The sequence below is a fragment of the Homo sapiens genome, chromosome 5 (genome assembly GCF_000001405.40).
Source record: "Homo sapiens chromosome 5, GRCh38.p14 Primary Assembly".
NCBI classification, from domain to species: Eukaryota; Metazoa; Chordata; class Mammalia; order Primates; family Hominidae; genus Homo; species Homo sapiens.
Window position 1 is genome coordinate 141,472,549 of NC_000005.10, and position 12,352 is coordinate 141,484,900.

Genomic DNA, 12,352 nt, shown 5'->3' on the forward strand with positions numbered 1-12,352 from the left:
AAAATTATATTATAAATGCTGCATCTCATTGGTCAGAAGCTCTCTTGAAATTATAAAACAAAGAAGAAAAAAGATAAAGACTGGGAAATTGTGTTGAATCAGTATATAAATCCTGTATACTGGTCCTTCCATTTCCCCTAGAAATAAGTGATACAGGCCAGGCGCTGTGGCTCACACCTGTAATCCCAGCACTTTGGGAGGCGGAGGCTGGCAGATCACCTGAGGTTGGGAGTTCAAGATCAGCCTGACCAACATGGAGAAACCCCCGTCTCTACTAAAAATAGAAAATTAGCTGGGCATGGTGGCACATGCCTGTATTCCCAGCTACTCGGGAGGCTGAGGCAGGAGAATTGCTTGAACCCAAGAGGAGGAGGTTGTGGTGAGCCAAGATTATGCCATTGCACTCCAGCCTGGGGAACAAGAGTGAAACTCAAAAAAAAAAAAAAAAAGAAAGAAAAAGAAAAAGAAAGAAGGAAGGAAGGAAGGAAAGAAAGAAAGAAGTGATACAACAAGTTACAGCATCTTTGTTTATTATCCACTGTGAGTTGTATTACCACACTTTACTTGGCTCTTTGGCAAACTATATTATCTCTTCAGATCACTAGGGCTAGGAAGGCCCACTGGTAACTTGAAGGAGTAAATGTATCTTCTAAAAAATGCTTACTTCCAGGGAGATTGGATCCACACAAGTGAATACATATATAGTCCTTAGTGTATGCTATGATTATTTTACTATGTCAGTAGCATAAAGATTGCTATATTAATAAGCATTAAGTGCCTGCTGTGCTAGACAGTGAGGATGCAAGTGGCCACCAAAATAGCATGGTCCCTGCCCTCCTGGAGCTTCTTTTTTTCTTCTTCAGTGGGGGAAGCAGATACTTTGCTTATGCAAAAATAATTATAAAATTTAAAGTTGTGCCAAGTTCAATGGAAAAAATATAAGGTGTTCTGAGAGAGCATAACAAAGGATCCTGGTTTTAACTGGGGCCTAATGGAAGACCTCTATTAGGAAATAACATTTAAACTAAGACCAGACAGACCTGTAGAAATTAGCAAAGCAAAGGGAGGGAGGAAAAAGCAGCTTTCCTGGCAAAGGAACAATTTGTGTGAAGGCCCTGAGACAGGGAAGGGCTGGGGTTCTGACCACCCTCCAAGTGGTGCAATGGAATATAGTGAGAGAGGGAGAAGACATGAGAACTTGGATACTATGCAAAGGATTTGGTATTTTAATTCAAGAGCAGTATGATGCTACTGAGGAGCAGCTGGACAATTGTGTGATCCAATTAAAATTTTAGGAAGATGAACCTCGCTATTGTGGAGAATGCATACACAAGGGTTCTGTTGGTTCATGAAGAGGTCTTAAGAAAACTATGAGCTGGGTGCAGTAGCTCAGGCCTGTAGTCCCATCTACTTAGAAGTCTGAGGCGGGAGGATCCCTTGAGCCCAAGGAGCTGGAAGTTACAGTGAGCTATGATTATTCCACTGTACTCCAGCCTGGATGACAGAGCGAGATCCTGCCTCAGAAACAAAAACCAAAAAACAAACAACAACAAAAACAACAACAACGAAAATCTCAGAAAACTACAGGCCTTATTATCAAGAAAATGACAGGCCTTATTATTGAGAAAACTACTTACATTTTTAAAAGCTGATTTTCAAAAACCAGATTGTGAATTAAGTGATGCTGAATAGGGGAAAAAAAGACTGATAAACCAGTGTATCTCTGAATAACCCACTAGATCAGTGCTTGTCAAACTTTAATGTGTTTTCAAATCACCCTGATGTTTTGTTAAAATGTAAGTCATGTCTCAGTAGGTCTAGAGGAGGGCATTTCTGCATTTCTAACAAGCTCCCCGGTGATGCCTAGACCATTGGTCCTCACACTTTGAGTAGCAAGTGATTGGGCTATACTCTTTATTCTAAATTCTAAATGTATTCTATCTTCTAATGCCTATCAGCCCTCTTGCTGGTCTGGCTAATTATCAAACTTGAGCATTTAAAACTGGGGGTTTTCAGAGATTAATTGAAGTGTTAAAGACATGGAAATATAGGTCACATATGGCTTTTCATCTCTTCCGGAAATATCCTATATATCCTTACTTCTTTTCTACCTACCTAACCTATGTGCCTACCCCTTCACTTATGTTCAAGGTTCTATTATACTTCAAAAGGACTCTATGCAATCAAAGTGATGTCCAAGACAAATATACAGAAATAGTATGAGGCTCTAACACTTTACATCTAATGGAGTGGTTTGCATCATTAATTGAGGCTTACTCTGTGCCAGGCACTTTACCTGCCTTCTTCATTTAATAGGATAGGAGCAGGAACTCTTAGAGGTTCATTTCTTGTTCAAGGATATACATCTCATCTCTGGCTTATATCACAGTGGACTCTTTTATTCACTATCCTAATCATTATAATTTTGTTTGGTGACAACAATTCTAAATGCAGAAAAGTTAAGGCTCTTTATTCTGTGACTAAAGGCTTTGTATTTTCTAAAGATTTGTGGAGCTTTGCTGCCATTATTTCAATAATTTTATAAAGATCCTAGGTGGTAAATAGGCCTGGCTTTTTTTCTTTTTGAAATCTTCTCCGTCTTCTTCTTCATTAGCAGTGCAACTTCTTGTGGCATATGGTACCCAAGATCTTGGGAAAAGGATTGATCAAGTAAAGGGAAACGATAGAGAGAGTGTGCTCTACAACTGAGATCATGCTCCTTGTGAAAGACAGGGTAGGGAAATTTCTTATTGCTCCCTGGTTCTTAAGAAATGAGAGCTAACAATGACATCCAGTTTTAAAAGAAATAAAATCTGAATTGTACTTTTAAATTTTATAAGCCAGAGTTAAACCAATAGATTGTAACTCCTGCTAATTTGATAGTAGCTCCAGATAATGAGGAAGTGACAGGGAATGCTAATTTCATTTGGTAAGAGATAAAACTGAAATTATTAATGTCTCCACGGAAATGCTAAATGCCTCCTTACAAGTAGGGTCCGGCTAATTGTCTGTCTTCCAACAAGCCAGATTTGTTGGTGTTTTTCCAGACAATGTTGTGTAGTTTTCGGTTTGGTTCGATCCCCTTTCTTGTGATCAAAGAAAGTGATTCAAATGTTTAATGAGTCTTGATTTGGATTGGAGACTTGCAGAACGGCTAGCCTCACAGCCCCAAGGCTGGCTTTCCCTAAGGTAGGTTTCCTATGCACCGATACTGGCAAGGCGCTTTGGCTGGAAACTCTGGAAGGAAGCCAAAGGAAAGTGAAGTTCCTGGCGCTAGCGCGTGTCCTGCTCAGAGAGCCCGGCGCTAGCTCATTCTTCGTGCAGTTATTGGCTGGGACTCTGTGTGCCGCTGTCGGCCAATGAAGACGCTGGAGATCGGGCCCCTGCCCGTCCCCTTTCTGCGCCCCGGGATGAGGCAGAGACTGAACAGCCGGCGAGCAAATCAACGGCATCCAGAAAGCCATGTCGGACTCGGCGCCCAGCGCCCAAGCGCTAACCCGCTGAAAGTTTCTCAGCGAAATCTCAGGGACGATCTGGACCCCGCTGAGAGGAACTGCTTTTGAGTGAGATGGTCCCAGAGGCCTGGAGGAGCGGACTGGTAAGCACCGGGAGGGTAGTGGGAGTTTTGCTTCTGCTTGGTGCCTTGAACAAGGCTTCCACGGTCATTCACTATGAGATCCCGGAGGAAAGAGAGAAGGGTTTCGCTGTGGGCAACGTGGTCGCGAACCTTGGTTTGGATCTCGGTAGCCTCTCAGCCCGCAGGTTCCGGGTGGTGTCTGGAGCTAGCCGAAGATTCTTTGAGGTGAACCGGGAGACCGGAGAGATGTTTGTGAACGACCGTCTGGATCGAGAGGAGCTGTGTGGGACACTGCCCTCTTGCACTGTAACTCTGGAGTTGGTAGTGGAGAACCCGCTGGAGCTGTTCAGCGTGGAAGTGGTGATCCAGGACATCAACGACAACAATCCTGCTTTCCCTACCCAGGAAATGAAATTGGAGATTAGCGAGGCCGTGGCTCCGGGGACGCGCTTTCCGCTCGAGAGCGCGCACGATCCCGATGTGGGAAGCAACTCTTTACAAACCTATGAGCTGAGCCGAAATGAATACTTTGCGCTTCGCGTGCAGACGCGGGAGGACAGCACCAAGTACGCGGAGCTGGTGTTGGAGCGCGCCCTGGACCGAGAACGGGAGCCTAGTCTCCAGTTAGTGCTGACGGCGTTGGACGGAGGGACCCCAGCTCTCTCCGCCAGCCTGCCTATTCACATCAAGGTGCTGGACGCGAATGACAATGCGCCTGTCTTCAACCAGTCCTTGTACCGGGCGCGCGTCCTGGAGGATGCACCCTCCGGCACGCGCGTGGTACAAGTCCTTGCAACGGATCTGGATGAAGGCCCCAACGGTGAAATTATTTACTCCTTCGGCAGCCACAACCGCGCCGGCGTGCGGCAACTATTCGCCTTAGACCTTGTAACCGGGATGCTGACAATCAAGGGTCGGCTGGACTTCGAGGACACCAAACTCCATGAGATTTACATCCAGGCCAAAGACAAGGGCGCCAATCCCGAAGGAGCACATTGCAAAGTGTTGGTGGAGGTTGTGGATGTGAATGACAACGCCCCGGAGATCACAGTCACCTCCGTGTACAGCCCAGTACCCGAGGATGCCCCTCTGGGGACTGTCATCGCTTTGCTCAGTGTGACTGACCTGGATGCTGGCGAGAACGGGCTGGTGACCTGCGAAGTTCCACCGGGTCTCCCTTTCAGCCTTACTTCTTCCCTCAAGAATTACTTCACTTTGAAAACCAGTGCAGACCTGGATCGGGAGACTGTGCCAGAATACAACCTCAGCATCACCGCCCGAGACGCCGGAACCCCTTCCCTCTCAGCCCTTACAATAGTGCGTGTTCAAGTGTCCGACATCAATGACAACCCTCCACAATCTTCTCAATCTTCCTACGACGTTTACATTGAAGAAAACAACCTCCCCGGGGCTCCAATACTAAACCTAAGTGTCTGGGACCCCGACGCCCCGCAGAATGCTCGGCTTTCTTTCTTTCTCTTGGAGCAAGGAGCTGAAACCGGGCTAGTGGGTCGCTATTTCACAATAAATCGTGACAATGGCATAGTGTCATCCTTAGTGCCCCTAGACTATGAGGATCGGCGGGAATTTGAATTAACAGCTCATATCAGCGATGGGGGCACCCCGGTCCTAGCCACCAACATCAGCGTGAACATATTTGTCACTGATCGCAATGACAATGCCCCCCAGGTCCTATATCCTCGGCCAGGTGGGAGCTCGGTGGAGATGCTGCCTCGAGGTACCTCAGCTGGCCACCTAGTGTCACGGGTGGTAGGCTGGGACGCGGATGCAGGGCACAATGCCTGGCTCTCCTACAGTCTCTTGGGATCCCCTAACCAGAGCCTTTTTGCCATAGGGCTGCACACTGGTCAAATCAGTACTGCCCGTCCAGTCCAAGACACAGATTCACCCAGGCAGACTCTCACGGTCTTGATCAAAGACAATGGGGAGCCTTCGCTCTCCACCACTGCTACCCTCACTGTGTCAGTAACCGAGGACTCTCCTGAAGCCCGAGCCGAGTTCCCCTCTGGCTCTGCCCCCCGGGAGCAGAAAAAAAATCTCACCTTTTATCTACTTCTTTCTCTAATCCTGGTTTCTGTGGGGTTTGTGGTCACAGTGTTCGGAGTAATCATATTCAAAGTTTACAAGTGGAAGCAGTCTAGAGACCTATACCGAGCCCCGGTGAGCTCACTGTACCGAACACCAGGGCCCTCCTTGCACGCGGACGCCGTGCGGGGAGGCCTGATGTCGCCGCACCTTTACCATCAGGTGTATCTCACCACGGACTCCCGCCGCAGCGACCCGCTGCTGAAGAAACCTGGTGCAGCCAGTCCACTGGCCAGCCGCCAGAACACGCTGCGGAGCTGTGATCCGGTGTTCTATAGGCAGGTGTTGGGTGCAGAGAGCGCCCCTCCCGGACAGGTAAGGTTTAGCAAGTCATGCTTGACCCTGTTAGTGCTTTTTTATTCCTACATCATATTGAGGAAGGAATGGAGCTGTTTTTTTAGTGATGAAGATGTTTTCCTGGTGATGCATTCACACTTTCAACTGGCCCTTCCTAGATCAAAGTTAGTGCCTTTGTGAGATGGTGGCCTGCCAGAGTGTGGTTTGTGGTCCCATTTCAGGGGGAAGATACTTGACTCATCTGTGGACCTAATTCACATCCTCAGCACTCTTTTGCTATCACAACTAACCAATCTTGCTAAGGGATGGTTAAGCTAAAACACAAGATCTCAGCGATCAGAGTTTAGCTTGGTATCATTTACATTAGGAATAAGCTGCTGGATACCTCTAACCAGTGGCAGCTTCTAGGAATACAAAAACTACCTCATTCCTCCACCTTTCAAGTGATTGTGACATTTGTATTAAAACTAATAGCTTTTTGATAATTTTCCTTTGTTTATACAGATCGTGTACCTCATTCTCAGATAATTTTTTATGAATGAAATGAAATTCCAGGCATCCTTTAAATTTTATTTCAAGCATTCTACTGGAAATGATGTGCACCCTGCTTACAAAATATTTTTACCTTATAACAGTAATGCATGTTTGCTAGAAAATTCAGAAAATACAGAAAAGTATTTAAAAAATTAAAACTATAATCTCCAAACCCAAAGATAACCATTTTTAATTATAAAAGTAATAATTTATTTCAAAAATAAATCTAGGCAACCCAAGAAAACATAAAGTAGCCAGACTCAGTGGTGTGCACCTGTAGTTCTTGCTGCTCAGTGCCTGAGGTGGGAGGATTGCTTGAGCCCAGGAGTTCTGGGCTGTGGTGCACTATGCTGATCAATTGATCAATCCACTGTCTGCACTAAGTTCAGCATGAATACAGTGACCTCTTGGGAGGGCAGGACCATCAGGTTGCCTAAAGAGGGGTGAACTGGCCCAGGTTGGAAGTGGAGAAGGTCAAAACTGCTGTGCTATCCAGTAGTGGGATGACATCTGTGAATAGCCACTGCACTCCAGCCTAGGCAATATAGGGAAACCATGTCTCTTTAACAATAACAACAACAACAACAACAATCCCAGAAACTACAAAAGGAGAGTCTTTTTGGTGCCTCCAGTGTTAGTCCCTGTCCTTCCAGCCTTATTTTTCTTAAGTATATGCACAATGTGAAAGGTAGATAAATTCATATCCTTAGACAGGTAAAGCATTCATTAATTCAGGGTGGTATGCAAGGATACTATCCAAGGCATGGTATCCATGCAAGGTGACTGCAAGGCCTTTGCCCTGGAGAGAACCCTATACATACTCTCAACTGTAGGAGAAACACTGTTATTTTGTTACTCAGTGCATCATTGCTATCAACTCTTGGATTTGGCAGTTAGTCAAATGAGGTTCTACCATTTACCAACTAGGAGTCTGTGGCCAAGTTACTCAATCTCCTTTCTAAGCCTCTTCCTCATATGCAAAAAGGGAATAATAAGTGTTTTATAAGATTCATGCATGATATAATGTATGCAAAGTGTTTAGCATGGTGCCTGGCATATCATAACTGTTAAACAATTATTAGCCAGCTCCTAGCATTTTGGGAGGCTGAGGCAGGCGGATTGCTTGAGGCCAGCAGTTCAAGACCAGCCTGAGCGACATAGTGAGATCCTGTCTCTACAAAAAAAAAAAAAAATGTGTTTTCATTAGCTGGGTGTGTTGGCATGCACCTGTGGTACCAGCTACTTGGGAGGCTGAAGTGGGAGAATTGCTTGAGCCTGGGAGGTTGAAGCTACAGTCAGCTGTGATTGCACCACTACACTTCAACCATGGCAATAGAGTGAGACCCTGTCTCAAAAAAAAAAATTATCAGCTATTACTATAATTATTTTTATTAGTTCCTCACTCACCTAAAATCTCAAACACACCTTAGAAATACACATATGAGAACAACCAAAAATGACAAAGTAGAAGCACATATGAAAAGGCTAAGAAAGCATGAAAGCCAGCAAGAAATAACTGCCGCTCTTCTGGTCAGCCTGGAAAGCAACTGGCATTTTCCCTAGAACAATGTTTTCAAACTTGGTTGCACATTAAAATCACCTAGAGACCTTTTAAAAATTCTGAAACCCAGGCCACACCCCGACAAATGAAAGCACAGTCTCTGGGGGTGGGACATAGGCATCATTTTTTGAAGGTCCCCACTTGATCCTAATGTGCAGACAAATTTGAAAACCACAGCTTTGGGAGGCTGAGGTGGGTGGATCATAAGATCAGGAGTTTGAGACCAGCCTGGCCAATATGGTGAAACCCCGTCTCTACTAAAAATGCAAACATTAGCTGGGCATGGTGGCGCATACCTGTAGTCCCAGCTACTCTAGAGGCTGAGGCGGAAGCATCAGTGAGGGAGAATCAGTGAACCCAGGATGTGGAAGTTTCAGTGAGCCCAGATCACACCACTGCACTCCAGCCTGGGCGACAGAGCGAGACTCCACCTCAAAAACAAAAAGAAAGAAAGAAAAAAGAAAAGCAGTACTCTGGAACCTACCAATCCATCATTTAGCATATTTGTGAAGTAAAGTGTTATTCTGGTATTTGCAGAACCAGAATCCAGCTTTATTGGGCCAGGCCCAATTTTTTTAAAAAACATGGTAAGGTCTCCCAGCCTTAAAGTATTACATAGCATAGCTCTAAAAGATCACTGTAGGAAGACATAAAATGGTATTTCAGTCATCTAAGGGAAAAACCTTCCTAAAGCACTAGCCCCTGGACAACTATTATTTAAACATCTACAGCTGTTCAATAGATATTGGGTTCTTTTTGGAGGGATGTGACAAAATTCTTGTATAATTAGATTGTGATGATGATTGTATCAGTTTAGTACATGTAAATACACTGAAAACCATTGGATTATACACTTTAAATATGTGATTTGCATGGTATGTGAATTATGTCTCAGTAAAAATCTAGAGATGGGGCTGGGCTCAGTGGCTCACGCCTGTAATCCCAGTACTTAGGGAGGCTGAGGCCAGCGGATCACCTGAGGCCAGGAGTTCAAGACCGGCCTGGCCAACATGGTGAAACTTCATCTCTACTAATAATACAAAAATCAGGCCGGGCCTGGTGGCTCACGCCTGTAATCCCAGCACTTTGGGAGGCGGAGGCGGGCGGATCACGAGGTCAGGAGTCCAAGACCAGCCTGGCCAACATGGTGAAACCCCGTCTCTACTAAAAATACAAAAATTCACCAGGCGTGGTGGCTGAGGCAGGAGAATCGCTTGATGGTGGAGGTTGCAGTGAGCCGAGATCGCGCCACTGCACTCCAGCCTGGGTGAAAGAGCGAAACTCCATCTCAAAAAAAAAAAAAAAAAAAAAATCAGCCAGATGTGGTGGCAGGTGCCTGTAGTCACAGCTACTTGGGAGGTTGAAGCAGGAGAATCGCTTTATCTCAGGAAGCAGAGGTTGCAGTGAGCCAAGATCATGCTGTTGCATTCCAGCCTGGGCAACAAGAACAAAACTCACTCCATCTCAAAAAAAAAAAAAAAATATCTAGAGATGGGAGAATCATATGGCTGGCATAAAAAGGTCAAGTCAAAGATATGTAAGATTAAGGCTTTACGATGCTCCAGTTCTAGTAAAACAGACCAGGTACTTGTTTTGGTGTGAAATTGCCAATATAAGTATAGTACTGTACATATTAGTTGTTTAGCTTAGGTAAGTCTTTTAATCTCTTTAAACTCCAGTTTCCTCATCTATAAAATAAAGAGAATATCTACTTTGCAAACTTGTTGTGAGAGTGAAAAGTAATGCATATAAAGTCCCTGTATGGAGCAAGTACTCAATAACTATTTGTTGAACTAAAAATGATAATACTGATATTCACCATTTATTAGCATCCCTATGTGCCAGACACTGTAAACAATTAAAAGTTATCATTCTGGTACCCAGAGTACAGTATGAGACAGACATGCAAAAAAAAAAAAAAAAAAAGATAATGGAGATCTGCATAGCATAAGATGCAGTGGGACCAAACGGGAAAAAACACCTAAATGAGCCTGGAGAAAGGAAGAAATGATAGAGGTGGTGATGCTTGAGCTATGATCTAAAGGTTGAGTAGTAGCTTGTCAGACAGTAAAGGGGAAAGGACAGGGCAGGGAGGGGCCATTGCAAGAAATTCCATGCAGAGGGATTATGGTATTTCATTATCACTGAACCTTAAACTGTGTGTGTGGCCGGGTACGGTGGCTCATGCCTGTAATCCTAGCACTTTGGGAGGCCAAGGTGGGCAGATCACTTGAGGTCAGGAGTTTGAAACCAGCCTGGCCAACATGGTGAAACCTCATCTCTATTAAAAATACAAAAAATTAGCCAGGTGTGGTTGTGGGTGCCTGTAATTCCAGCTACTTGAGCAGCTACTTGAGAGGTCGAGGCAGGAGAATTGCTTGAACCCGGGAGGCAGAGGTTGCAATGAGCTGGTGTCAGGCCACTGCACTCCAGCATGGGCAACAGAGAGAGACTCCATCTCAAAAAAAAAGTGTGCGTGTAAAACAGACAGTCTTTGTAGGAGATGAGGTGAAGCAAGTAGGCAGGAGTTAGATCCTGAGTTACCTTTGGGCCAAGCCAAGGAGTTTTTATTTTATTCCATATAGATGACAGTCACTGCAGAAATTTGAACTGATATGCATATATCATGAGGTTTTTTTGTTTTAGAAATATTATTCTGTCAGTCATAAGTGAAGGGACTGGGGACATTGGGACTGGAGGCAAAGAGATCTTATCTCTTTGCAATAGTTTGAAAGCTATTGCAATATTTGAAGAGAAGATTGATAAATGCTTGAACCAGCACAGTGGCAGTACAGATGGAGGGAGCTGACTACAATAAAATCATCAGGACTTGTTGATTGACATGATATAGGAAGTGAGGGACAGGGATGAGTCAAGGCTGATCCCCCTAGATCCTGACTAAGGAAGCTGGGTGGTTGACAGTGCCATTCACAGAGACAGTGAATTCTGGCATAAACACCTAATAGGTCAGGCTGGTTTACACCTCCATCATTCCCATGGGAGAAGGTATAGAGGGGTGTGTGTTTGTGTGTGTGTGTGTGTGTGTAAAAGAACACAGAAAGCCAGATTCCTCTTTTTGACACCAGAATATTGGTTCCCACCATAGTCAAAAGGATATTCCTGAGGATCGAGGCTTGGAAAAATATTGGGGAAGGATAAGAACTCCAGTTGTTGCTGCTTTTTTTGGCAGCCAGTGTAACCTAGGTAAGGACTTGGTTGAATTAAGAAATTTCATGTCCAGATCAGGATGGATTTTTCTATTTCTCTGAGCTCTGGTGTGTTTCCCACTCAGATTGCAGGTCGTAGGTACCTACGGTGTGAATTGTGTTGTGTTTCTGTGCTTGTGCAAGGGAGTAGCTAGGTTGCTGGGAGGTCTGGATGAGGGTGGGGGTGGGGTGAGATCAAGTCTCCAGCTCCAAGAGGTCCCCTGGGGCTAAGTGAAAAGCTTGCTCTTTTGAAATGGTCTTCGTTGGTAATTAACAAAAGATCAAGAATACCTTGGTGTCAGATAAAGGGAATTTGTAGGCACAATGCTGTTGGTAGCTGATCTCAATCATTCAAGGAAGCTATTAAATCTATGAACATTAGCATTCTGCCAGGTAAAGAGATCTGGTCCTTAGCACCTCCCAGACACACTGATTCTTTACTGTTTTGAAACATCTCCCTCTCCTGGCTTCCTCCACCCCGCTTCCATACTGTCCTTGAAATCAATGAATGGTAATTTAGTGTATCTAGTGTATCACTAGCAAATGTCTGAATAAGAAAGGTTTGGTTTCCGCTGTGTCTCCTGTTACAATGAGAACATGTACTGCATAAATTTAATTGGCTACGTTAATGTGTAAGCCTTTTCTGCAAAGAGATGGATCCGTTTCTGAATATTCTGCAGAAGGGCAGAGTTTTGAGTATATGGCAGTGGTTCTAATTAGCAGTTGCTCCAATACAATCAGACTGAGACGGAAGCTACTCATTTAGAATACTGGTTGATGACAACACTGGCTTGAACAAAGTGACCACTCTCCAATGGCTACTCTCCCTCTCAGTGGGCCGCAGGTTGCTAGGGCTCAGGCTGTGGCTGTTTTCCCCGCCGAAAAGGGGCGGGGTCAGTCGGTGTGTTAGGAAAAAAAATGTATATATATATATATGTTGTCTGCCTCCCCACAGAGATAACAACCCGTGGAAAAACATGCCGTTGAGCGGGAGGAAGGCGAAAAGATAGGCTGGGTTTTTTGGGGGGTGGGGGAGCGTGGAGGATAGGGTGGGCTTTTTCCCCTCCAATG

General features: G+C 44.9%; 20 protein-coding genes, 1 pseudogene and 1 further gene across 23 annotated transcripts in view, besides 2 other annotated features; all 22 read left to right on the plus strand.

Annotated features, from left to right (window-relative positions):
* Nucleotides 1-12,352, plus strand: part of PCDHGA1 (protocadherin gamma subfamily A, 1) — a 182,462-nt gene that overhangs the window by 142,035 nt on the left and 28,075 nt on the right. The window lies entirely within an intron of this gene.
* PCDHG@ (protocadherin gamma cluster) overlaps nucleotides 1-12,352 on the plus strand; it is a 182,295-nt gene that overhangs the window by 141,864 nt on the left and 28,079 nt on the right.
* PCDHGA2 (protocadherin gamma subfamily A, 2) overlaps nucleotides 1-12,352 on the plus strand; it is a 174,216-nt gene that overhangs the window by 133,789 nt on the left and 28,075 nt on the right. The window lies entirely within an intron of this gene.
* The window catches only part of PCDHGA3 (protocadherin gamma subfamily A, 3), a 169,147-nt gene that overhangs the window by 128,720 nt on the left and 28,075 nt on the right, over nucleotides 1-12,352 (plus strand). The gene's annotated exons all lie outside the window — the stretch shown is intronic.
* Nucleotides 1-12,352, plus strand: part of PCDHGB1 (protocadherin gamma subfamily B, 1) — a 162,877-nt gene that overhangs the window by 122,450 nt on the left and 28,075 nt on the right. The gene's annotated exons all lie outside the window — the stretch shown is intronic.
* Nucleotides 1-12,352, plus strand: part of PCDHGA4 (protocadherin gamma subfamily A, 4) — a 157,955-nt gene that overhangs the window by 117,528 nt on the left and 28,075 nt on the right. The window lies entirely within an intron of this gene.
* Nucleotides 1-12,352, plus strand: part of PCDHGB2 (protocadherin gamma subfamily B, 2) — a 152,982-nt gene that overhangs the window by 112,555 nt on the left and 28,075 nt on the right. The gene's annotated exons all lie outside the window — the stretch shown is intronic.
* PCDHGA5 (protocadherin gamma subfamily A, 5) overlaps nucleotides 1-12,352 on the plus strand; it is a 148,814-nt gene that overhangs the window by 108,387 nt on the left and 28,075 nt on the right. The gene's annotated exons all lie outside the window — the stretch shown is intronic.
* Nucleotides 1-12,352, plus strand: part of PCDHGB3 (protocadherin gamma subfamily B, 3) — a 142,734-nt gene that overhangs the window by 102,307 nt on the left and 28,075 nt on the right. The gene's annotated exons all lie outside the window — the stretch shown is intronic.
* The window catches only part of PCDHGA6 (protocadherin gamma subfamily A, 6), a 139,085-nt gene that overhangs the window by 98,658 nt on the left and 28,075 nt on the right, over nucleotides 1-12,352 (plus strand). The window lies entirely within an intron of this gene.
* Nucleotides 1-12,352, plus strand: part of PCDHGA7 (protocadherin gamma subfamily A, 7) — a 130,234-nt gene that overhangs the window by 89,807 nt on the left and 28,075 nt on the right. The gene's annotated exons all lie outside the window — the stretch shown is intronic.
* Nucleotides 1-12,352, plus strand: part of PCDHGB4 (protocadherin gamma subfamily B, 4) — a 125,278-nt gene that overhangs the window by 84,851 nt on the left and 28,075 nt on the right. The window lies entirely within an intron of this gene.
* PCDHGA8 (protocadherin gamma subfamily A, 8) overlaps nucleotides 1-12,352 on the plus strand; it is a 120,343-nt gene that overhangs the window by 79,916 nt on the left and 28,075 nt on the right. The window lies entirely within an intron of this gene.
* Nucleotides 1-12,352, plus strand: part of PCDHGB5 (protocadherin gamma subfamily B, 5) — a 115,029-nt gene that overhangs the window by 74,602 nt on the left and 28,075 nt on the right. The gene's annotated exons all lie outside the window — the stretch shown is intronic.
* The window catches only part of PCDHGA9 (protocadherin gamma subfamily A, 9), a 110,198-nt gene that overhangs the window by 69,771 nt on the left and 28,075 nt on the right, over nucleotides 1-12,352 (plus strand). The gene's annotated exons all lie outside the window — the stretch shown is intronic.
* Nucleotides 1-12,352, plus strand: part of PCDHGB6 (protocadherin gamma subfamily B, 6) — a 104,955-nt gene that overhangs the window by 64,528 nt on the left and 28,075 nt on the right. The window lies entirely within an intron of this gene.
* Nucleotides 1-12,352, plus strand: part of PCDHGA10 (protocadherin gamma subfamily A, 10) — a 99,989-nt gene that overhangs the window by 59,562 nt on the left and 28,075 nt on the right. The window lies entirely within an intron of this gene.
* The window catches only part of PCDHGB7 (protocadherin gamma subfamily B, 7), a 95,299-nt gene that overhangs the window by 54,872 nt on the left and 28,075 nt on the right, over nucleotides 1-12,352 (plus strand). The window lies entirely within an intron of this gene.
* The window catches only part of PCDHGA11 (protocadherin gamma subfamily A, 11), a 91,925-nt gene that overhangs the window by 51,498 nt on the left and 28,075 nt on the right, over nucleotides 1-12,352 (plus strand). The window lies entirely within an intron of this gene.
* Nucleotides 1-12,352, plus strand: part of PCDHGA12 (protocadherin gamma subfamily A, 12) — an 82,469-nt gene that overhangs the window by 42,042 nt on the left and 28,075 nt on the right. The window lies entirely within an intron of this gene.
* Nucleotides 3,158-3,267: an enhancer, noted in NCBI's record as "active region_23297". NCBI's record gives its function as "activates an Ori minimal core promoter by ATAC-STARR-seq in GM12878 lymphoblastoid cells {active_cell/tissue: GM12878}" and the evidence as "EXISTENCE:reporter gene assay evidence [ECO:0000049][PMID:35858748]".
* Nucleotides 3,418-12,352, plus strand: part of PCDHGC3 (protocadherin gamma subfamily C, 3) — a 37,010-nt gene continuing 28,075 nt past the window's right edge. The window contains exon 1 of one of the 3 annotated variants that reach the window (NM_002588.4): nucleotides 3,418-5,998. In NM_002588.4, the coding sequence (NP_002579.2) occupies nucleotides 3,569-5,998 (2,430 nt within the window). In that variant the 5' untranslated portion in view covers nucleotides 3,418-3,568. Of the gene's footprint in view, nucleotides 6,248-12,352 lie in introns of those variants that run through there. The other 2 variants (NM_032403.3, NM_032402.2) reach the window with 2 other exon arrangements.
* Nucleotides 3,725-4,268: an enhancer, noted in NCBI's record as "H3K4me1 hESC enhancer chr5:140855840-140856383 (GRCh37/hg19 assembly coordinates)". NCBI's record gives its function as "activates a minimal SCP1, AML or CMV promoter by ChIP-STARR-seq in primed H9 embryonic stem cells {active_cell/tissue: H9 hESC(primed)}" and the evidence as "EXISTENCE:reporter gene assay evidence [ECO:0000049][PMID:30033119]".
* RN7SL68P (RNA, 7SL, cytoplasmic 68, pseudogene) lies at nucleotides 6,768-7,077 on the plus strand (annotated as a pseudogene).